Source organism: Homo sapiens, chromosome 2, assembly GCF_000001405.40.
Source record: "Homo sapiens chromosome 2, GRCh38.p14 Primary Assembly".
Lineage (NCBI taxonomy): Eukaryota > Metazoa > Chordata > Mammalia > Primates > Hominidae > Homo > Homo sapiens.
In genome coordinates, this window is record NC_000002.12 from 229,488,476 (window position 1) to 229,514,720 (window position 26,245).

Consider the following 26,245-nt stretch of genomic DNA (forward strand, 5'->3'; position numbering starts at 1 on the left):
TTGTGTGTGCATTTGTGTGTTCTTGCGTGTGTGTTTTCTTTTACAAGGTCAAGATCATCATTCCATTTTATAGATAAGAGAACTTGGGCTCAGAGGAGCTAAGTAAAGTTGGTGAGTGGAATTCAACCCAGGACTGCAGACTCTAACCCTACGTCCCTCTCTTTCCTCATATGTGTTCCTTCTTTCCTTTTGATGAAGTTCATTTGAAAAGACTGTGAGGGCCAACCAAGGCCAGCCCTGAGGCCAGACACAGTGGGCAGGAAGTGGCCCATTCAGGCCTGGCTTTCCTGTGATCTTTGCTCCAACCTGGCTCCCCTGAGCAGGAGATGCAGAAAGAGCTGAAGCCAAATCTCTGGCCAAGAAAGTGGTGATTGGACTCTGTGCAGGGCTTGACAATCACAACAATATCAACAGCTGACATTTGTTGAGGGCTTACTATGCACCAGGTCACTTTCCAAGCACACTACCTATATCATCTTATTTAATCTTCACAGTCATTGGATTGTGGCACATTGAATACCGTCACCCATGCCCAATTTACAGATAGACAGCTGAGACCCAGGAAGATTAAGTAACTTCCCCAAGCTCACACAATAAATGAGTAGTGGAAGCAGGCGCTGCACTTGGGCAATCTGGCCTCCCGGCCCAGCTGGGCTTTGCGGTCAGCCAGGCCCTGGCTTCGTAAGTATCACATCGGCAGCTGTGAGTAAGGCAGCATGGCCTGCGGGGAGGGTGCAATCACCCAGGCGGCAGATGCCAACAGCTTGAATCAGGGCATTGGTAATGGAAGAGGAAGAGCCAGGGCAGATGGAGAGTCATCATAAATAAAGGAAACTTGGTGGCACTCCAAAGATAACTGAGATGAGGGCGGCGAGCATAATGGCCGAGCTTCCAGCCCAAGTGAGGAGGGAGATGATGGCACCACTGATAGAAACTAGGGATGCATGAGAAAGCCAGACTGCAATCAAGTGTGGGATCAAAAGGAGGCAGAGAGAGGCCGGCAACATGACTGGGTGGGTGTGGGGGGCGCGGACAGAGGGAAGGAAGGTGGTGAGGAGGAGGGGGAGGAAGAGGAAGGGGAGGAGGGGAGGAGGAGTCGGCAGACACATTGCTGCCTGGTGCAGGCAAAGTGCTGAGGTGAAAGGCTGGGCTAGAAGGGGTCTGGAAGCCATCCACCTTGAGGTGATGGCTCAGAAGGAGCCATTGCTACCCAAGGCAGAGGAGAGCAGCTGAAGAGGGAGGGGAGGAAGAAGAGGGTGGGAGAGGTCTCAGGAGAGCAGGCACAGTGCAGTGCTCTGGAAGCCAGGTGAGAAGGCTTCTGAAAAATGATCAACTTCAGCAGGATAAGGATGAGGAAGGAGCCCTCGAAATCAGTGAGAAGGGCACCACTGATGACCTTGGAGAAGCACTCTTATGATACAGAGAGAAAAGCAGCATGAGGGAGTGGGTAGAAAATTATGAGTTGAAGATGGACCAATATGTTGCAGTAACGAGGAAGAGAGAGTGGAAGAGAAAGAAGGGGAGATCAAAGTGGAGGACAAGAGGGAAGAGGAGGAGAGGAGGAAGAGACAAAGGAGGAGGAGAAAGCGGAGGAAGTGGACATATGGAAGGAGCAGCAAGGAATTTCCAAATTACTGCTTGTTTGCAGGACTGGTTTTAAGATAGAGAAGGCCAGAGAATCCTTGTGAACAAGAAGCCAGGAAAGAAGCAGGGAGGGACAGGGAATATAGCAGAAAGAGGGAGACAAGGTTAGAAGCACATGATCCTGGAGGAAAATTGAAGAGGGAGTACATCAGGCTAAGTGTCTTAGTGTCTTGGCAGCATTATTCACAATAGCCAAAAGATGGAAATACTCCAAGTGTCTGTCAGCGCATAAAGGGATAAACAAAATGTGGTACATCCATACAATGGAATATTATTCAGGCATAAAAAGGAATGCAGTTATACCTGGTATAACCTGAATGAACCTTGAAAACCTGCTAAATTAAAGACACCAGCCACAAAACTACACATCATATACTTGGACTTATCTCTAAAATGTCCAGAATAAATAAATCTATGGAGACAGAATGTAGATGAGTGGTTGCCTAGAGCTGGGGGGTGGGGAGGATGGTAGGGCCACAGAGTGATAGCTAAAGGGTAGAGGGCCTCTTTCAGGGGTGATAAAATGCCCTAAAGCTGATTATGGTGATGACTGCACAACTCTATGAATATACTAAAAAGCACTGAATTGTAAACTTGCTGGTATGTGGATTGTATCTCAATAAAGCTGTTATTTAAAAAAACAAACAAACTTTGGAGTCATTCACAACTCTCCACTTCCACTCACACCTCAGCACACCAGGAAGTGTTATCAGCTGTACCTTCAAAGACATCCCAAATCCAAAACGTCTCACTACTTCCAGCACCACAGTGGTCAAGCTGTCCTTATCTCTAGCCTGATAAATGCACATATTTTAAAAATAGCCTCCTAACTGGTTTTCCAATTTGTCCTCCCTATGTTTATTCTGCCCCAGACTCCACAGTGATCCTTTTAAGTGGAAAGTCCAATGGCTCAGCCCAGTTCATGCCCTCAGTGGCTTCCTGTCACTCTCAGAATGAGCTCCCTGTCCTTCCTTCCTGGCCAGGTCCAGGTTCCTTCTCAGCTTGCTCAGGTCTCATCATAGGTTCTCTCGGGCACTGTGCTCCGGCTCTTCAAACACGCTGGGCATATTCCTGCATCATGACCTTTGCACATTATCTTGGTCCATTCAGGCTGCTAGAGCAAAATACCTGACACTAGGAAATTTACGAGGTGCATGCAGATTCAGTGTTTGGTGAGGGCCCATTCCTCATAGACGGCACCTTCGAGATGCCCTCACATGGCAGAAAAAGAAGGCAGCTCTCTGGGCCCTCTTTCATGAGGGTACTAATCCCATTCATCAGGTGAAGCTCTCATGACCCAATCACCTCCCAAAGGCTCCACCTTCTAATACCAACACCTTGGTGATTAGGTTTCAACACAGGAATTTTAGGGAAACGCAAACACAGATCATAGCACTTGTGCATAGCATATAACTATTTCCTCTGCCTGCAATCCTATTCCCCTGATAGTCACACTGTTTACAAGCTCATTTTATTCAGTCTCTTCACAAACATTTCCCCTTCTAGGAGGCTTTACCTAGTCAACCTATCTGCAATCCTATTCCCATTTTTCTTCATCCCTTTACCCTGTTTTATTTTTTCTTCACAGCACCTATCACTCCTTGATGTCTGACAGCCTTCCTTCACTCCACATCTACTTTCTCCTTCCCCTGTAGTTCAAACTGATACTGTCTTTGATGGTAAAATCCCATCTCAATTCCTGGCTTCTGCTGAGATGGCTGATTAAATCCATGAATCACATCCATGATCTCTTACCAAATGGTTGCTCAGCCATAACCTTAAGTATTCTCTTCAGAACAACTTCCCCATTTTTCCCATTTTTGCCATGATTACACACACACACACACACACACACACAGACACACAGACACACAAACACACTACATATATGCAAACATACACACGCATACACTGTATACACAAATGCATATGCATATTGTCTAGTCATCTTCCTCACTGAAATATGACTTCCACGAGCACAGGGACTTTGCTTCATTCTCAATTGTATTCTCAGCACCCAGAAAAATCCCTGGCACATAGTACACATTCAGTAAATAATTATTGAATGAATAAGCCTTACTACAACTCCTTATGTTAAAGATGAGGAAACCAGAAGGAGTTAAGAAAGGTTAGGAGGATCACACAAGGTCACACAACCAGTAGGTAGAAGTGGTTAGCTTGAAGCCCTGACGTACCATGTCTCACTAGCTTTGTTTTGTTATTCTGAGCCCCAAGGGGTGCAATGTCTGGTCCTGAGAAGGGATGAATGACACAGGGGCAATACATTCATAGACCATTAGAAATGCCCATACCTTCCACTCTATTCATAACTAACAGAAAATTCACAGACCATTAATATGTAGCAGTGAAACACACTCTTTGACTCAAAGATGGGCCCCGAGTGAAGAGGCCTGCATTCCGGTTTCCCCCATGAGCTTTGTGACCTTGATCAAGTCCCACAGCCTTATGGAGTCAATATTGCTTCCATGCTTCACACAGAGGTGAGTTCTGAGGTTTCTGCCAGTCTAAAACTCACAACTCATTTTTTACTTATTTATTTATTTTTGAGATGGGGGTCTCAGTCTGTCACCCAGGTTGGAGTGCAGTAGCACAATCATAGTTCACTGCAGCCTCAAACACCTGGGTTCAAGCTAACCTCCTGCGGCAGCCTCTGAAATACCTATGACTGCAGGCACATACCACCATGCGCAGCTAAGCTTTTTTTATTTTTCATAGAGACAGGATTTCGCTATGTTGCCCAGACTGGTCTCAAACTCATGGCCTCAAGTTATCGTCCAGCCTCAACTTCCCAAAGCGCTGGGATTAGAGACCTGAGCCACCACACCCAGCCTAACCTACTTTTTAAAACCTGCTTTCATGATCTGCTAATTCACTCACTTCTTGAGGTGAAAAAGGCTGGGTTTGGGGACACACAGAAAATTCTAATCGGGATTTGTCTCCAGCAGGAGGTGACCCATTTCAAACCAACAACGCAAAGGCACTGACACTTAGTCAGTGTGCAAAAGAGTAAATGTGGGAAGGGAACACGCGCAACAACATTCCCGTTGCCTCGGAAATAACGAGTTTTTAAAAATAGGCTGAAATCACCAATTAGTAGGAACAATGTAGTGCTTTGAAGTTGAAAAATGCTTTGCATAATGCTAATAATATTTTGGCAGTGGTGGTTCTGAACTTGTATCACCGCTATTCTTTTCAGAAAAAGAAATAGCTCCTTTGAGGAAGAATTATATTCTTGAAATTAGAAGGCTTTTATAAAATGTTAATAAATCCTGATTAAAGAAGTTAAATTTCAACTTAATCAGCCATTGTGTGTTTACTATGTACAAGGCACAGGGCTTGGCACTGACATGATGGAAAACTCAAGAGGAATAGAATTGTTGCTGCCCTCGAGCCAGCTACAAATTACACATGTGCTGTAGGGAGAAGCTGAGGGACAGAGGGAAGAGGAAGAAGAAATAAGAGAACTGAGCCCCTACCATACACCTGTATGGCTCATATAGAATTGTATCTCATTCTATTCACCCATTCATTCATTCAGGAAGTCCTTATTGAGCACCTGCTTTGTGTCAGGCTCCAGGCTAGGTACTGGGTGTATGGATTGACAACTGATCAGGTACTTGCATTCCTTCAATACCCATAACCAGCCATGATGAGACTTGTTCTAATCTCTTTGCAGAGATGAAGAAGCAGGCCCAGAGAGTTGCATAATCTTCCCAAGGAGCCCAGCTAGAAAAGGGTAAGAGTGGCAGCAGGATTTAAACTGCTGGCTCAGAAGCTGTGGCCAAGTGGAACAGATAAGGGTCTAGATTCCAGGGCAGACAGTATCAGGTTTGTACCTGACTCTGGCGCTTCGGGTTCATATAACTTCGGGCAATAAGCTACATGAACCTCTCTAGGAACCTTGTTCTGAATTGAATAGTATGATATTAGGGCTTGATAGGAAATAAAGAATATAGCCCAATTTTAAAGGGGCACAATTCAGTTCACAGCATTCCACCTCTGATTCTCCAAAATTCAGGTTCTTCTCATACACACAAAATACATTCATTCCTTCCCAACAGCCCCAAATGTCTCAACTCATTCTAGCATAATACCTAATATCTAAAGTCCTAAGTCTCATCCACATACCATCTAAATCAGATATGAATGAAACCCAAAGTGTGATTTATCCTGAGGCAAAATTCCTCTCCACACATGGACCTGTGAGATCAGACAAGTTATATGCTTCCAAATACAATGGTGGGACAGGTGTAGGATAGATATTCCCATTCCAAAAGGAAGAACTAGGAAGGAAAGAAGAGGTGGCAAGTCCCAAGCAAGTCTAAAACTCTAGCAAGGCAAAATCCATCAGAACGTAACAGCTCAAGAGCAATCCTCTTTGGTATGATGCTGTGCCCTCCAGGCCCCTGGTGTGGCAGTGTCACCCCACAGCTTTGCAGGGCAGCCCTGCCCCAGAGACACTGGGCAGTTATTCAGGCCCATTGAAATCTGGGAGGCTGTCATACCCTTAGAAACAAAGGAGGAAGCCTTGTCCCCAGACCTGGAGTAGAGGTGGGATTATACCATCTCTGTAGTGGGAGTTACAGCCCCGCTGATCTCTGAGTCTCCTTTGGGGCCCTCTTTCCCTTTCCTTGAAGAACAGCTCATATTCACAGCTGAATAGCTCTATATTCCACTCCTATAGATTCCAAGAAGTCCGACAGCCTTCCTTCATTCCACCTCTATTTTCTCTGTCCCCTTTAGTTCAAACTGAGAGTGTCTTTGATTGTAAAATCCCATCTCAATTCCTGGCTTCTGCTGAGATTGCTGATTAAACCCATGAATCATATCCATGATCTCTTTATCAAATGGTTCCTCAGCCACAACCTTAAGTATTCTCTTCAGAACAACTTTCTCATTTTTTTGCAATATAGATAGATTGAGAATTTTCCAAATCTTCAAGTTCTGATCCGTTTTAGCTTAACAATTTCCTTTTCAATGCATCTCTCTCCTTTTGCATTTTACTTGAGTAGTCAACAGGATCCAGCCTTTCAACACTTTGCTTGGAAATCTATTCAGCTAAATATATAATTTCATCACTAACAAATTCTACCTTTCACAAAATACTAGAATGTAGCTCAGCCAAGGTTTTTGCCACTTTATAACAGAACCAATAGGAGATATACATAAAGAGATGTGTTATAAGGCATTGGTTCATATGATTATGGAGGCTGAGAAGTCCCCATATCTATGGTCAGCAAGCTGGAGACTAAGGAAAGCCAATGATGCAATTCCAGTCTGAGTCTAAAGACCTAAGAACCAGGAGAGATGGTGTAAGTTCCCGTCTGAAAGCTAGCAGGCTCGAGACCCAAGAAGGGCCAATATTTCAACTGAAGTTGGAAGGCAAGAAAAGACCAATGTCCCAGCTCAAGGCAGTCAGGCAGGAGGAATTCCCTCTTACTCAGCCTTTTTGTTCTACTCAGGTCCTCAACCTAGGCCCACCCACGTTAGGAAGGGTAATATTCTTTACATAGTCTACCAATTCAAATGTTAAACTTATCTAGAGACATCCTCATAGACACACCCAGAATAATGTTTGACCAAATGTCTCGGCACCCGCTGGCCCAGTCAAGTTGACACATAAAATAAACCATCACAGAGACCTTTCTTTGATTCTGTTCCTCATATTAATTTTTCCACTAAACGTATTTCTAGAGCAGTCTGTATTTGCTGCTCACTCATTCTCATATCATGTCTACCTCCTGTTCAGCTCATCACTGCCAACCAGTATCACCTGGTGGGAGGTTGAGGTGGGTGGTCAGTCTAATAACTTATTGGCCACATGTAAACCATGAGGGTATGACAGCTCTAGACACAGTATTGCCCTACAGAGTGTTTGGCACCTCCTAACTACCCTTCTTGCTCCTGTTCTTACAGTCTTTTAAAGAGACCTCAAAGCTTCTGATATAGCCTATGTCAGGTCAATGTAATGGAAAACCACCACAGGCTTGAAAAACCTTGTTACTAAGTTTAATAAACTCCTCTTAGATTTTCTTGCAGTAATTGATGCGGATGACAATCCCTTTCTTTTTGAAAGTATTGTGAGAAAGTTTCAAGAAAAATATCAATTACACTTCATTAAAATTTTCTGCTCAAAACAGAAACTTTACTGATCAAAATCTATAGTCCATTTAATATTGTGAAAACATGTATATGACTTCATTAATATTTATAAGTTAAAAGATCACCTCCTGCTTCCAAGCAATTATATTAAGAATCAAAATGAAAACTAAAAGAGAAACTATAAACAAAAAGAGAGTAGTAAGTCCTCACCTATCAATAATTATTTTGAATGTACATGGATTAATTTTCCAGGCAGAAGACATAGAGTGGATGCATGAATTTTTTTAAGTCCTAATTATATGATGCCTACCAGAGATTCACTTCACTTTTAAGGACACACATAGATCCAAAGTAAAGGAATGGAAAAAGACACTCCATGCAAGTGGAAACCAAAAGAGAGCAGGGATAGCTCCACTTAAATAAAATAAAATAGAATTTGAGTCAAAAACTGTAAAAAGAGGCAAAGATGGTCATTATATAATGACAAAGGGGTCAATTCAATAAGAGGATATAACAATTATAAATATATATGTGCCCAACTTCAGAGCCCCTACATACATAAGGCAAATATTAATATATCTGAAGGAAGAGTTAGACTGCAATACAATAGCAGGGGACTTCAATACCCCACTTTCAAAAATAGAGAGACTATACAGACAGAAAATCAATAAGAAAACACCAGAGCTGGACTGTACTTCAGGCCAAATGGACCTAACAGTTATATACAGAGCATTCCACCCAACAGCAGCAGCATATACATTCTTCTCAAGCCACGTGGAGCATTCTCCAGAACAAATCATATGTTAGGCCAGAAGACAAGTCTACCAAATTTAAGAAGATTGAAATCACATCAATAATATTTTCATATTACAATGATATGAAAGTAGAAACTGATAACAGGAAGCATTTTAGAAAATTTAGAAATATATGAAAATTAAGCAACATGCTCTTGCACAACCAATAAGTCAAAGAATAAATCAAAAGAAAAATGTAAAAATATCTTGAAACAAACAAAAATGGAAACACAACATACCAAAACTAATAGGATGCAGTTAAAGCAGTTCTAAGAGGAAAGGATGTAACAATAAATAACTACATCAAAAAAGAAAGATCTCAAATAAACAACCCAATGTTACATCTAAAGAAGCTAGACAAAGAACAAAGCCCAAAGTTAATATAAGGAAGGAAATAATGAAGATCAGATCAAAAATAAATAAACTAGAAACTAGAAAAACAATAGGAAAAATATCAACAAAACTAATCAGTTGTTTTTTTTAAAGATAAATAAAGTCAACAAAACTTTAGCTAGACTAACAAAGTAAAAAAGAAGACTTAACTAAATAAAAACAGAAATGAAAGAGGGGATATTACAACTGATACCACAGAGATACAAAGGATTTGTTATACTATAACACAAAGAATTACTCTAATACTATAACCAGTAATACACCAACAAATTGGATAACCAAGAACAAATGCATAAATTTCTAGAAACATACAATCTATCAAGACTGAATCATGAAGAAATAGAAAATGTGAACAGACCAAGAATGAGTAAAAGAGTGAGCCAGTAATAAAAAAGTCTCCCATCAAAGAAAAATTCAGGAACTGATGGCTTCACTGCTGAATTGTATTAAACATTTAAAGAGCTAATACCAATTTTTCTCAAACTCTTCCAAAATATGGAAGAGAAGGCCAGCGTTACCCTGATACCAAAGCCAGACAAGGACACTATGACAAAAGAAAACTACAGGTCCCTGATGAACATAGAAGAAAAAATTCTCAAAAAAACACTAGCAAACTGAATTTAATACCATATTAACAGAATCATTCACCACAATCAAGTGGGATTTATCCATGGGATGCAAGGAAGGATCAACATATGCAAATCAATAAATATGATATATTACTTTAAAAGAATGAAGGGCAAAAACCACATCATCATCTCAATAGATGCAGAAAAAGCATTTGACCAAATTTAGCATCCTTTCATGATAAAAACTCTTAACAAACTAGGTATAGAAGGAATGTAGCTCAACACGATAAAGGCCATATATGACAAGCCCAAAGCTAACATCATACTCAGTAGTAAACAGTTGAAAGATTTTCCTCTAAGATCAGGAATGAGTGGCCCACTCTCACCACTTCTATTGAACATATAACTTAATATACTAGCCAGAGCAATTAGGCAAGAAAAAGAAATAAAACGCTTCCAAATCAGAATGGAAGAAGTTAGACTGTTTGCTGATGACATGACCTTATATATAGAAATTATTTAAAACCCCACAAAAGGACTGCTACAATTAATAAATGAATTCAGTAAATATGGAGGATACAAAATGAACATACAAAATGCAGTAGCATTTCTGTACACTAACAATGACCTACCTAAAAAATAAATGAAGTAAACAGTTTTCTTTATAGTAACTACAAAATAAAATACTTAGAAATACATTAAACCAAGTAGGGGAAATATCTGTAAATTTAAAACTATAAAATTCTGACAAAAAAATTGAAGAAGACAAAAATAAATGGAAAGATTTCCTGTGTTCATGGATGGGAAGAGTTAATATTGTTAAAATGTCCATTTTATCTAAAGCAATCTACAGATTCAATGAAATTCCTACAAAAATTCCAATGACATTTTCCACAGAAATTTTAAAAAAATTCTAAAATTTGTATGGAACCACAAAAGACTCCAAATAGCTAAAATCAATCTTGAGTAAAAAGAGCAAAGCAGGAGGGATCACACTACCTGATTTCAAAATATACTACAAAACTATAGCAATCAAAACAGCATGGTGCTGGCATGAAAACAGATGCATACTAATGGAACACAACAGAGAGCTTAAAAACAAATCTATGCTTTTGCAGTCACTTGATTTTCAACAATGATGCCAAGAACATAAAATGGGGAACAGGGCCAGGTGCAGTGGCTCACACCTGTAATCCCAGCACTTTGGGAGGCCGAGGCGGGCAGATCACCTGAGGTCAGGAGTTTGAGACCAGCCTGGCCAATATGGTGAAATCCTGTCTCTAATAAAATTGAAAAATTAGCTGGGCATGGTGGTGGGTGCCTGTAGTCCCAGCTACTCAGGAGTTTGAGGCAGGAGAATCGCTTGAACCCAGGAAGCAGAGGTCACAGTGAGCCAAGATCATGCCACTGCACTCCAGCCTGAGCAACACAGCAAGACTCCAACTCAAAAAAAAAAAAAAAAAGGAAATTTAAAAATTGGGAATAGACAGTCTCTAAAATAAATGGTGGTGGGAAAACTGGACATCCACATGCAGAAGAATGAAATTGGACTCTGATCTCACATCATATGCAAAACATCAATTTAAAGACTTAAATATCAGACCTGAAACTGTTAAACAGAAAAAAAAAAATAGAAGAGCTCTGTGGCAATTGTCTGTGCAATGATTTTTTTTGCATATAACCCCAAAAGCCCAGGCAACAAAAGCAAAAATAGACAAACGGGATTACATCAAACTAAAAAGCTTCTGCATGGCAAAAGAAGCGATCAATGGAGTGAAAATACAACCTGCAGAATAAGAGAAAATACTTGCAAACCACACGTCTGATAAAGAATTGCTATTTCAAATATATAAGGTATTCAAACAACTCAATAGCAAGAAAACAAATGAGCCAATTTTAAAAATGGGCAAAAAATCTGAATAGACTTTCTTTCTTTTTTTTTTTTTTTCTCTTCAAGACAGAGTCTCACTCTGTCACCCAGGCTGGAGTGCAGTGGCACAATCTCGGTCACTGCAACCTCCACCTCCCAGGTTCAAGCGATTCTCCTGCCTCAGCCTCCTGAGTAGCTGGGACTACAGGCACTTGCCACCACGCCCAACTAATTTTTTGTATTTTTAGTAGAGACCAGGTTTCACCGTGTTAGCCAGGATGGTCTCAATCTCCTGACTTCATGATCTGCCCTCCTCGGCCTCTCACAGTGCCAGGATTACAGGCGTGAGCCACCGTGCCCGGCCCTGAATAAGCTTTCTAAAGAAAGACATACAAATGGCCAACAAGTATATGAAAGAAGACTCAAAATCACTGATCATCAGGGAAGTGTCAATTAAAACCACGATGAGATATCAAGTCACACCTGTCAGAATAGCTATTATCAAAAAGACAAAAGATAATATGTGTTGGTGAGGATGTGGAGGAAAAGGGACTCTTGAACACTGGGAATGCAAAGTAGTGTAACTATTATGAAAAACAGTATTTAAGTTCCTCAAAAAACTAAAATAGAACTACTGCATGATGCAGTAATCTCCCTACTGGATATATATCCAAAGGAATTGAAATCAGTATTTCGAGGTGATATTTCCACTATCATGTTCATTGTAGCATTATTTACGAATAGTCAAGATATGGATTCAGTCTAAGTATCCATCAACAGGTGAGTGAATAAAGAAAATGTGGTGTATATATACACAATAGAATACTATTTGGCCTTTTTTCAAAATTTCCATAGGTTTCGGGGGAACAGATTGTGTATGGTTACAAGAGTAGGTTATGGCGATATGTAAGATTTCGATGCACCTACCACCCAAGCAGTATACACTGTACCCAACTTGCAGTCTTTTATCTCTCACCCCCCTCCCGCCCTTTCCACCGAGTCCCCAAAGTCCATTGTATCATTCTTATGCCTTTGCATTCTCATAGATTAGCTCCCACTTATGAGTGAGAACATACGATGTTTGGTTTTCAAAAGAAGAAAATTGTGTCATCTACAACAACATGAATCAACCTGGAGGACATTGTGCTAAGGGAAATAAGCCAGACACAGAAGGAGAAATGCTGTGTGATACCACCTATATGATGACTCTCAAATAGGCAAACTCATAGAAGTAGAGAGAATGGTGATTACCAGGAGGGTAGGAGGAGGGGAGGACAAGATTGGAGAGATTTAAAAGAGTACCTAGGTTGGTCAAAGGATACAAAATCTCAGGAGGAATGCTTCCAGAGATCTATTGTACAACACCGTGACTATAGTTAGTCACAATGTATTATATCCTTAAAAAATGCTAAGAAAGTGGATTTTAAGTGTTCTCACCACAAAGAAATGATAAGTATGTTAGGTTAAAAAAAAAAAGAAAAAGAAAACTAAAGAAAAATGTTTATCACTTAACCAACTCAAAACCCAATCTGCCATATTCATGCATTCTAGATTACCCATAACTAAAAAAAAAATTTTGTACTGATACTTGACATAGAAATTAAAGCAAAAATGTCAAAAAATTTAACAAATTTGGAGCTGCAGATTCTTTGCTGAAAATATTTTCCCTTACCAAGAAACATTCTCCTCTCAAGAGAAATAAGCCTTGTGTCAAGACAACAATCCTTCTGTGAAGAGACTTTGTTGAGAGTTTTTGTTCTCTGGTGACAACAACACAGTTTGAATTAATTCATTCATCAAACAAAATAATTTTGCATGATCAAACTTGTAATAATTAGAGCATAGTGGGATACATTTTCAAAAAGAAGGCACACTCCCCTCTGTTTGAAGGTTTTTGTGTATTTATCTGGTGTTTCGGAGGTTAATTAATTGATATTAATTAATTATAAATAGTTAACCCACAAAGAAAATGCAATTTTCCTATGGAAAAATAATTGGTTCAAGGATATCCAGCAGCTCATAGTTGACCAACAAGGAGCGGCCTGGCTTACAGACAGCAGTTGCAAAGTGAATGGACAATATACTGTTTGGAAAGCTGCTGCTTTGGTCAAAGAAGGTAAAATCTGATCTGCTCAGTGGGCTGAATTGCATGCTGTTTTTCTAAGAGTAACGGAAGAACTAACAGTGGTGGAAGCCCCTGTGTTTGGGTTTTCACTGACTCACTGGGCAGTGACCAATGGCCTGGCCATATACTCAGGCAAGAGGGCAGTGGAAACCTGTCCTATCGAAAGGAAACCCATATGGAGCATGGCCCTATGAAGATTTGAGGGGTGCATTAAAGTAGAACCCATCAGTGCCCATCAGAAGAACTCTCATCCAGGCTCAGAAGGTGACTGGAATCAACAAACAGATATCTACGGGTGCTCCCTTGAGGAGGCCACCTGAGTCCATGAAATGGGTGGATATGGGATATGGGGGCACCGCAGCAGTGCAGAGATGGGCTGAACCTAGATACGTTCCTCTTGCACCCTCCTTGGGCACATAATGCCAAAACTGTACTGCTTGTCAATAAGAGAGACAGAGACTGCCGATGGCTATGGGGCAGATTCTCTGTGGGGAAAGAAGGCCCTGAACACAGCTGATGAGTGGGACTGATGCTGGCAGCCCGGGGAGCTACAAATAGGTCTTGACGGGAATAGACACTGACTCTGGACTGGGCTTTGTTTACCCTGCGGAAGATGAAAATGCTCGGAGTGCCATAACAAAAACAAAAAACAAGAAACAGAAGATATTACATGGATTTGGATGGTTATCATTTCTTCAGACCAATGAACACACTATACAGCCCATAATGTCCAACAATGGGTAGAGATATCCTCCTCAGAGTGATAGTTTGATAGAGAAATAGGACAGGTAACTGAAACAATGGTTGCCTGAAATAAGGAGACGGCAGGCAGGGCTGGTTTACCTGGTTTCGCAGCTGTGTGCTCACACTGCATATGAATGGGATTAAAGGGGTGTCCCCCTTAGATATTTTTTTCCTCTGGCTGATCTTGGGGAGAGGGGATAGCGAGAATGCTGGTATGATTAAGCAATTCTTGCCAAGGTAGAGAGTGCACTGGTAATAACAACTATAATTTTTTCTTTCTTTCCCAAGTTACCCCTCAAATAATTCTTTTTTCTCCACTACCTGATACAATGGTCCTTGTACTAGGGCCACAACTGCAAGTACTGGAAGCAGGGATGATTTCTAAACCGAAAACTGTAACTGTGTTTTTCAACCTTATGTCAGAATTCCTAAGGACCTAATGGGGGTAGGTTATGCTTTGACCCCCACTGGCAAAACTGGGGCTAAGAGTGAATACGGCTCTATTGCCTGGGTGGTAAAAATGGTTCACTAGTTCAGAGCCTATGTAACCTTACCCTACACGAATGGGTATAGACTGAGGAGAGGCCCTTGCTGGACTAGCATTGTTACCAGCAGTCTGGACCAGCAGAGTGGCCAAACCTAATGTCCCTTCCAGAGGTGGAAAAGTTGAGTAAAAATAAATGACAAATGGAAAAAGGAGAAATAGTAGCTGAGGGTAAAGGAATAAATAAATAGGATGCACTATCATCTCGAAAGAGTCTCAGAGCAAGAGACGACATTGTCTCAGCTCAATTATAACAGATGCCTTAAAGGGTACAATACATGTTTGCCAAAGACCACTCCTGCTTTTGGAACCCAATGAGATAAAAAGGAAGCCTGCAAACCCAATGGCCACAGCCTGGGAGACATTCATGCAGTATGACGGACTGGACTGATAACTAATGACTGAATAGGATTCTAGTAATGTGGGGGTATCTTTTGAGTTATACATACTTTTTTGTTGCTTGTTTGCTTGTTTGTTTTGAGACAGCATCTCACTCTGTCACCTGGGTTGAATATAGTAGCACTACCTCAGCTCACTGCAACCTCTGCCTCCTGGGTTCAAGTGATCCTCCCACTTCAGCCTCCTGAGTAGCTGGTACTACAGATGCACACCAACATGCCCAGCTAATTTTTGAGGTTTTTTTGTAGAGATGGAGTTTTGCCATGTTGCCCAGGCTGGTCTGAAACTCCTGGGCTCAAGTGATCTGCCCACCTTGGCCTCCCAAAGTGCTGGGATTACAGGCGTGAACTACCGTGCCCAGCTGAGTTGTGTATTCTTTTGATGTAACTGATCTGTGTTTGAAAACCAGGAGATGGCCTGTGGTGACGTGTGTATGTGCATGCACACATGAGTGTACACACACCCAGTCACATATATATATCGATGCCCTGTGTATCTCTTCATCTATACCCTTTGTAATATCCTTTATTTACTTATTTATTTACTTACTTATTTTTGAGACAGAGTCTCACTCTGTTGCCCAGGCTGGAGTGCAGTGGTGTGATCTTGGCTCACTGCAACCTCTGCCTCCCGGGTTCAAGCGATTCTCCTGCCTCAGCCTCCCAAGTAACTAAGATTACAGGCACCCACCACCATGCCTGGCTAATTTTTGTATTTTTAGTAGAGAGAGGGTTTCGCCATATTGGCCAGGCTAGTCTCAAACTCCTGACCTCAGGTGATCTGCCTGCCTCGGCCTCCCAAAGTGCTAGGATTACAGGCATGAGCCACCATGCCCGGCCCTGTAATATTCTTTAGAATAAAGTGATGAACAACAATAAAAGATGTTCAGAACTAAACTCATTAGTGAACTCCCTTTTAAACATCAGCCCCCTTTTTTTACACAAAATTGCCTAATATTTATTTTATTATAAAGAGATCTTTTGACATGGAAATGCTGAAGGGATTACATTGTCTTAAACCATGCATTTGTGACAGGAAATTACTCAGCACACCACATAGTTGCAAACACAGAAAAACATTATAGTAAGATGATCAATAATCCTGCAGAAGGACCTGGGTTCAAATCCCAGCCCCAACAGCTACTGGTGCTTGCACCTGGCATGGCATGGACAAGACGTGTTCCCCATGTTGTTTCCTCTTCCTAGTCAGTGACTTTAGGGAATAACAACTAAATTCTGGCAAATGGCATGTGGTGGAAGGGATAGCAGATGCTACTAGGCACTGCCCTAAGAACATTGCATAGGACCCTCCAGCCGTCCCTTTGCCTTCAGCAGTACTGTGAAGGCCACCTCTTGAGGATGATATGTTCATAACATGAAGGGACCTGGATCCCTGAGTCACCACCTGAAGGCTAAGTGCCCCCATCAGACTATGACACAAGCAAAAATTAACCTTGGCTTGGAAGCCACTGAGGCTTGAGGATTATGTGTTGCTGCAGTGTGTGTGTGTGTGTGTGTGTGTGTGTGTGTGTGTGTGTGTTGGCTACAATAAAAAAGCAGCACTAGAAGCTAAGCTAAAAGAGAGAGAGAGAAACCTATGGGAATGGGGGTTCCTGCAGGGAATCGGAACTGGCAAAGAAGAAACCTTCTTAAGGAAACTCAAGAACAAGTTATCAGATAGATGAGCAAAGAGGGAGTTATGATGCCAAGGTAACATTCCTAAATCTCTTCTACCCCTGATCAGGATTTGTGCTAAAGCATAAAAAAGAGTAGAGCCGGGGGGGTCCCCTGGACCCATCTCTGTGAAAATGCAATGAAGAAAAGTAGCTGGGAGTCAGAGAGACCCTGACAGAGGCAGGGGTGACCTTTGGGCAAAGTGGAAGGTGAGACAGATGACAGGAGAGCTACAGATTCAAGGAGAGCAGAAATGAATTATTTTAAATTGCTACTATGGTTCTACGGCTGCCTTAAATTATATTAAACAAGAAAGACCTTTCACATGGAGGGATTTTTCTCACACATGGAAAACTAACTCTAAGCAAATTATACACGTTTCAAGAACCTCAGAAAATAAAACAATATGATGTAAATGTCAATGTAAAAAGATATTATTTTTGAAACTTGTTTAGACTGTGACCAATGCACAAAGGCACCTATATCTAATTTCATATTATTTCATGAAAATGGGAGCTTTCAATCTGCAATATTCAGAAAATGGTAGAACTATTATCAGAAAGCAGCTTACTTAAACCATAATTTGCTATTATTTACAAGTGTGGGGCTATAAAATAGCTTTGTTGTTTTAATAGAAGACATAACAGATGACTGTTTCGTGAATCAAGATCAATTTGCCATCTCCTGGGTTCCAGCACAATTCTGATGAATTTACCAGCAACCACCAAACTGTTTTGGGGTTGTATTAGTCTGTTCTCATGCTGCTATGAAGAAATACCCAAAACTGGGTAATTTATAAAGGAAAGAGGTTTAATTGACTCACAGTTCCACAGGGCTGGGGGGCCTCAAGAAACTTACAATCATGGAGGAAGAGTAAGCAAACATGTCCTTCTTTACATGCTGGCAGGAAAGAGAAGAATGAGAACTGAGCAAAACCATTATAAAACCATCAAATCTTGTAATGAATTACTATCACAAGGACAACATGGGGGAAACTGCCCCCATGAGTTAATTATCTCCACCTCATCCCACCCTTGACACATGGGGATTATTACAATTCAAGGGGAGATTTGGGTAGGGACACAGAGCCAAACCATACCAGGAGTCTAAGTACAATTATCAAAGTTCATATATTTGTAATGCAAAAATGCTATGGCCTTTTTTTTTCTTTTTTTTTTTATTATACTTTAAGTTCTAGGGTACATGTGCACAATGTGCAGGTTAGTTACATATGTGTACATGTGCCATGTTGGTGTGCTGTACCCAGTAACTCATCATTTACATTAGGTATATCTCCTAATGCTATCCCTCCCCCCTCCCCCTACCCCACCACAGGCCCCGGTGTGTGATGTTCCCCTCCTGTGTCCAAGTGTTCTCACTGTTCACTTCCCACCTATGAGTGAGAACATGCGGTGTTTGGTTTTCTGTCCTTGTGATAGTTTGCTGAGAATGATGGTTTCCAGCTTCATCCATGTCCCTATGCTATGGTCCTGATGTCAACTGAAAGTCAAAGTATTACAATCATGCATTGCGTAATGATGGGGATATGTTTTAAGAAACGTGTTGTTAGGTGATTTCGTCATTATGCTAATGTCATGGAATTTACTTACACAAACCTAGATGATATAGCCTACTACACACCTAGGCTATACAGGATAGCCTATTGCTCCTAGGCTACAAATCTGTACAGCATGTTATTGTACTGAATACTGTAGGCAACTGCAACACAATGATAAGTATATTTGTGTCTAAACATAACTAAACATAGAAAAGTTACTATTAAAACACAGTATTGTAATCTTATGGCACATCATTGTTTACGCATGTCTAAATATATCTAAACATAGAAAAGTTACCATCAAAATACAGCATTGTAATCTTATGGCACACCACTGTTTATGCGGTCCATCACTGACTGTCAGTATGTGGTCCGTCATGACTATACTTCTATTATTGTTACTGTTGTACATGTACATGTACATGACTATACTTCTATTATTGTTACTGTTGTTAGTAGAAGGCCCAAGGAGATTCCTATATGCCTACATGTGCTATAATGTGCTATTAGCATTGGAGACATTAAGTCACCTTAGATGGTAACAGTAAAATTCTTTTTCCCATTAACAAGCAAAAATAATTAATTACGTTTCTGGAAATTTCAAATCAATGGTTTAACCATGACAGTGCAGAAATGCTGAGAAGATAATAGGCACAATTTAAAATACACAGCTATTTAGTTATTCCAAATTCTGTCTGTAGCTTTGAAGAAATAGGGACACGTTATAAAGTATCATATACTATGTATTTATAGAAATGGTGTATTTCTGAAGATTAAAAATAAAATTATAACATAGGAAATTGGATCTCTATTTCATACTATATATATGTAAATCAAATTCATATTGATTAAAGACTTTGGTATAAAACAAAATTTTTAAATGTTTAGTGGAAAACAAGGTTAATATCCTTTAGATCTTCATGCAGGGAAACATTTTCTTAAATTGGACATAAATGTATTAACCAGAAAAGTAAAGTTTGAGAAATATAATGTCTATTCCTCAAAAGAGCCCTTGAAGTCAAAAGACAAGTTACAAACTTGAAGAACATATTTACAATTTGTATAACAAATTATTAGTATCAAAAATAAAGAATTCTAACAAATCAACAAGAAGAGTGTGCACACACACACAGATAATGGCACATAAACATATGAAGAGGAGTTCAGCATGATTAGTGTTCAGCAGACTACAGAGGCCATAATGAGACTCCTTTTTATACCTATCCAGTGGGCAGACATTAAGAACTCTGACACTACCAAATGCTGAAGAAGATGTGAGTCTACAAACTCACTTGTATACTGCACATGTGAGTAGATATTAGTGCAACACTTGGGAAAAACAGTTTGATATGACCTCCTATAATTGGTCAATTACATATTTTATGTTCCACAATTTTACTTCTAGGTATATACCTTAAAAACCTCCAGCACATACACAACAGAAGACATACAAGAATGCATATCTGTGCCTGTTCATAGAATGGAATTTTATATGGCAGTCAAGAACTCCAACACTATGGATGTCTTAGTAATAACAGTATTAAGTGAAAAAGTAAGTGCCAGAGAATTGCATGCATGATACCATAACATGAATCATGCATGATACCATTTTTATAAATTTTAAAAGAATTAAAAATAAATGTTTCTATAAAAACATGTAAATATTAAAATGATTAAAAAGGAAAACAGGCTGGGCGCGGTGGCTCATGCCTGTAATCCCAGCACTTTGGGAGGCCGAGACGGGCAGATCACGAGGTCAGGAGATCGAGACCATCCTGGCTAACATGGTGAAACCCCGTCTCTACTAAAAATACAAAAAATTAGCCGGGCGTGGTGGCAAGCACCTGTAGTCCCAGCTACTCGGGAGGCTGAGGCAGGAGAATGGCGTGAACCTGGGAGGCGGAGCTTGCAGTGAGCTGAGATCGCACCACTGCCCTCCAGCCTGGGCGACAGAGTGAGACTCCATCTCAAAAAGAAAAGAAAAGAAAAGAAAAGAAAAGAAAAGAAAAGAAAAAGCAAACAAAGAACTGATCAACTCAAGATTCAGGGTGGTTGTTATCTGTTATCTCTGGAGAGAAAGGAGAGGTGAAGGGATGAACAAAGGAGGAGCCTATAAGGTTAGTTGTCAGAAACAACTTCTGTTTTTGGTGGTGGTTTCACTGGTGCTTAGCAAATATGTAAAAATAGGCTATGCGTGAACAAGATCGGAGAGTGCCACAGACCGGGTGTTATCATCAATTCAATTCTGTGCACATAAAATCCTTTAAAAAAAGATGAATCCCCTTTGAGAACAAACCTAGATAAAAAATATCAAACTGAAATCATGTCAGTCCAAATATATCGAAAACCTCCACCAGCCAGCTCTGATTGAGACTATTTGTAAAAGGATCTTTATTTAACATTACTTCCAAAAGAGATATTGCAACCATCTAAAAGATTCATCAATAGAGGAATAGCTTAAAACATCTGTCTACATTTATACTCTTTCATTAATTCATCTCATCAACACATTGACTGAGTGTCCACAATTTGTCAGACACTGTGGGAATACAATCATGAACAAAACTGATCCAGGTCCTGCCCTCATGTGGCTTAACAATCCTTTTAAAAAGGGAAGACAGGCCAGGCGCAGTGGCGCACACCTGTAATTCCAGGACTTTGGGAGGCCGAGATGGGTAGATCTCCTGAGGTCAGGAGTTTGAGACCAGCCTGGCCATCATGGTGAAACCCTGTCTCTACTAAAAGTACAAAAATTACCCGGGCATGGTAGTGGGTGCCTGTAATCCCTGCTACTTAGGAGGGCTGAAGCAGGAGAATCTCTTGAACCTGGAAGACAGAGGTTGCAGTGAGCCGAGATCATGCCACTGCATTCCAGCCCAGGCAACAAGAGCAAGACTCTGTCTCAAAATAAAATAAAATATAAAATAAAAAAGGGGAGACAGGTAGTAATCAAAGAGTCACACACACAAATGTATGCTGAAAACAGACAGTACTGTGAAGTAAGGAATACAGGGTTATAGAAGAGAAAAATGGAGAGAGACTTATCTTGAAGCCTGCAGCCAAGACTTCCTGAGAAAAGGGACATTTAATAGAGGCCTGAAACAACAGAGATCTGGGAGTAGTTACCCAAGCAAAAAGGAGACAGGGAGGAAGTATTGTCCAAGCACAAGGTTGAGAGGGTGGATCCTGTGGCAGATGAGAGATCAAGCTATTACAGAGGCAAAAGGTAAAGGTGGCTGAAACCAGGGCAAGGGAGACATGGGGGTGAGATAGGGCTGGAAAAGCAGGCAAAAGACATATCCTGGTGCAGAATGAGGCCAAGGATTTCAATCGTTGTTCAAAGAGCAATGTGAAGAAGAAGTTTAAGCAGAAAAGCAACTACATCAGAATCTCACTGCGAAGGGATGCCCTGCAGCCACGTGGAGAATGGAGGGTCCGGGCATGGATGAGGCAAAGGCCGATGCCCACTTTGACATGAGAACCCTGGCTCTAGTGTGCAGCAGGGTCAAGAATTGTTGGAGGAACAGCAGGAGGCCATCTCAGCAGCACAGGCAAGGGGCAAAGGCCACTAGCCTGAAGGTGTTGGCAGTGGGGCTACAGAGGGTGGAGGATTTGAGAATTCTCTAGGTGGTAAAATGGAGAGCATCAGAGGTGGAAAAAATATGAAGAGAGAGGGAGAGGGAGGCACCTAGAATGACTTGTAGAGATGTCTGGCTTCTAGAAATGGATGGAACGCTGGAAGACGAGCTGTGTAGGGCTGGGAACACGATGAGTTCAGTTTGGAGATGACTGAGCTTAGGTTGTCCTGGGACACCTAAATGGAGATGCCATGTAGGCTGTCAAGTAAGTAGGTCTGGAGGGGAGCCTCACCTGGAGATAAAAATCTGGGGACACCATGTAACTGTTCAAATGAATGAGGTCACTCCATATAAACTGACTTGGTATGATGTCTGTGATCCACTGCCAAATGCATACTGAAAAAAGGCAAGTTATAGAACAATATGTATCATATCACTTTTTAAAAACATGTAGAAAAATACTTAATCATCTGGCCTGCAAGAGAAATACACACACTCTGACCTACACACAGACACACACACACAATGAAAGAATATACGAAATATTAACCTATCCCTATGATTTGATAAAGTTTAGGTGGGAATAGATAAGTAAATGAATTTCACTTTTATAAATTTCTGCTTTGCTGACTGTCTTGTTTCTTACAATGAGTACTTAATAACCCCCATGCCCACTTCATTCCATCCCTTTTTCACCCCCAACTCCTACCTTATCCTGAATCCCCACCCAGTGGCAGAAGCTGGCAAGAGAATGGGATGGAAAGAGAAAAGATGATGTCAGTTTTGCACATTATTTTATAACAAAATAAGAACAACTTGGTGTTTGCTTTTAAGATGCATCAAAATAGCTGTGTCAAAACGTTCCCTGGTAAAATGCCATTCCTGCTCCTGAAGGGTTTGTAACCAAGTTGGCTGAGCAGTAAGTCAATTAAGATGATTGTCAGAGCATGAAGTCTACAGCAACACTGTCCACTGCACTCTCCCTAGAGGCCCTCAATGTGCTCTGAGGATTTCCAAGTCTCATGTAACACCCAAGAACACACCACACTAACCAAGAAATGTTAAAAACTTCCCATTGTGGAGAACAAGGTAGCAGGAATTTGAACTAATGAACATACATGAACAAAAGGAAATTAATATAAACAAGAAGATTAGGTGGCTTTTGTGGTTTATCCTGGGTTTTTCTTCAGTTACTTAATATAATCACCCTGCACAGTGCCAGCCCACACTCAGTACATACTTGTGGAATTGTTTTTAACATGTCCAAGCCTCTATTGGGCTGAGAATATTATTTTCCCTGAACAAAAATGGGGTAATGCTGAAACAGAAGCATTCTAATGTCAGAAAGCCAAGAGACATATTGCGTAGCCCCATGTGAACTTTCTTCTTCCATTCCCTGATTACATAAAGCATAGACTGATAGCATCAAATGAGATCTTGAAGCTGCCTTGTTCAACAGCTGGGCACAGCATTGTTTAACCATGCTTGACTAAGAAGTGTATGCTGAAAATGTGGAACCAGCTCAAATGCCCATCAATCAACGAGTGGATAAAGAAACTGTGGTATATATATACGATGGAATACTACTCAGCCATAAGAAGGAATGAATTAGGCTGGGCAAAGTGTCTTATGCCTGTAATCCCAGCATTTTGGGAGGTGGAGGCAGGTGGATCACCTGAGGTCAGAAGTTCAAGACCAGCCTAGCCAACATGATGAAACCCCATCTCTACTAAAAACACAAAAATTAGCTGGGTGTGGGGGCGCATGCCTGTAATCCCAGCTACTTGGGAGGCTGAGGAAGGAGAATCACTGGAGCCCAGGAGGCAGAGGTTGCAGTGAGCCGAGATCACACCATTGCACTCCAGACTGGGAAAGAGTGAGACTCTGTCTCAAAAAAAAAAAAAAAATTAATTAATGGCATTCACAGCAACCTGGATGGGACAGGATACTATCACTCTAAGTGAAGTAGCTCAGGAATGAAAAACCAAACATCATATGTTCTCACTCATAAATGGGAGCTAAACTATGAGAATGCAAAGGTATATGAATGACACGATGAACTTTGGGGACTCAGGGGGAAGGGTGACAAGGGGATGAGGAATAAAGATCACAAATTGGGTTCAGTGTATACTACTTGGGTGATGAGTGCACCAAAACCTCACAAATCACCAAAAAGAACTTACTCATGTAACCAAGTACCACCTGTTCTCCAAAAACCTTTGTAAATAAAAAACAAGAGGTGCATGCTGTACAGACATACACCTAATAACTGAACCATGAGTATGTGTCGTACCAGGAAGGCAAACACAGGTGAAATTGCTCCCATCTTGCTTTTCATTTGCATCAATACAGCTCGCGTTGTTTTGGCAAGGTTTCCTCTGGCAAGCATCGTATTCTTCACAGAAAGTACCCACGTACTGCTCCTCACAGGTACAGGAAAAAGTTGCCTAAAACACAAAAAAAGCACAGTGTCTATTACCTGGCACCTCTCAACAGTGTGCTTTGGCTGTGAGACTCAAAGTTTGAAAGAACCACTTCCTTTTTATAATCAGCAATTTAATCAAATCACTTATGTCATAATCTAGTTGAAATCATCGCTTTAAGACAAACAGTAGTTTCTTTACAGTCTAATCTCAAACACGTTTTTCTATTCTTTGTTCATATTTATCCCCGTCATTTTCGATCTTCCTAAAATAGAAATGAAATGAACTTGTTTTAAGCTAAAATTGAAGTTTTGCTGGCCAGACATGGAAATGGCAATTTTGCTAGAGCAGATAGTTTAATGCTACAGCCATTAAACTAGATGTCACTCCAACCAACTAAAACCTTCAACAGAGATAGCACTTGCAACAAAGATGTCATCAAATGTCCAACCCAGACCGTCCTTTCAGAACACTGAGAAAATGCACTGAATCACTCCTTCAACTGGCCTCAATGTACAGCCATGCAGATTACCTGAGTGCAAGGGAAAATAAAAGGAGTATAATTCAAGTAACCATTTTGTATCGCTTATGATATTAACATTATCTTAGTAAAAGACCATAACTCAGACACAGAGAATGGAATTTGACTTGAAGCTTCATTTCTGAGATAGGTGCAAAATACAAACAAAACTGGGTTTCTGTCCCCTTCTTAATGACAGCCTAGGGGTACGGGCATGTCTGAAATAAACCACAAATCTGTCCCCAAAGCCTACACAAAGCAATATAGATCATTACAGAAGATTTTTATGAGGAAGAGAGGAGGAGAGGCAAAGGAGAATGACATTAACAGATCTTACTACTTAAGAAAATCTAAACAAAACAGACAAAAGCCCCTTGCCCAGCTCATCTCCAAGCCTGGCACATGGGGCAGATGTTCAATCTCTACCATTCCCCAGCCATTATCCCCTCACCCTCCCTCCCTCTCCCTGTCCTCAGCCTCCCGCTGCTAATCTTAGAAAGAGACTCTCTCCTCTTCTCCAAGCACTGTCAACTCAGGATCTCCACCCAGTACCCCCCATAAGTACAACCCACTGCCTGCCTTCCCCTTGAAGAGAAAAGGGTTATCCATTCTTCTCTTTAGTACATTTTTGTCTCTCAATCAAGTTTCATAATTCCTGCACATTTCTTGATAAATTTACTCCTGAATATTTATGTTTTTGTAGCTATTGATAATGAAATATCTTCTTCATCCTATTCTTGTTAATACCAATGATACTTGCTAGTAATTATTACACAGGAATAAAATACTAGGGTTTTGTTTCCAGTTATCACACTGAGCTTTTAGTACACGTCAGAGTTTTTAGTTGATTTCCAGGCTTTCTACATGACACAAAACAAGATGATAATAATAAGTCCATAACAATTGCAAATAGTAATAATGTCATCTTTTCTTCTCCAGTTCTCAAGGTTACATTGGCAGCTCTTCCGGAATAATTTTGGCCTCAGAGGGATGCTTGTAGAATTTACCACTAAGCAGATTGTTGGAATGACTGTGAAATTTTATCAAATGCCATTTTAGCTCCTACAGGAATCATCTATTGTTTTCATCTGTGACCTATTATGACATGAATTCAATATCCAGATTTCCTAGTACTGATTCAACCTTATGCTCCTGGAAGGAACATCCACTTAAGTCATTATACAAAATGGTTTTAATATGGCTGGCTTCTATTAGTAGTCATACTTCTAGTGCCTTCCATTTCACTCTCCCTCCACCCTCTTTCCCCAACAGATTTCTTTTCTAAGAA

General features: G+C 40.7%; 1 protein-coding gene across 1 annotated transcript in view; it reads right to left on the reverse strand.

The window, feature by feature from the left end:
* Positions 1-26,245, reverse strand: part of DNER (delta/notch like EGF repeat containing) — a 356,927-nt gene that overhangs the window by 130,847 nt on the left and 199,835 nt on the right. The window contains exon 6 of the mRNA NM_139072.4: positions 24,308-24,461. Coding sequence (NP_620711.3) covers positions 24,308-24,461 — 154 coding nt within the window. The remainder of the gene's footprint in view (positions 1-24,307; positions 24,462-26,245) is intronic.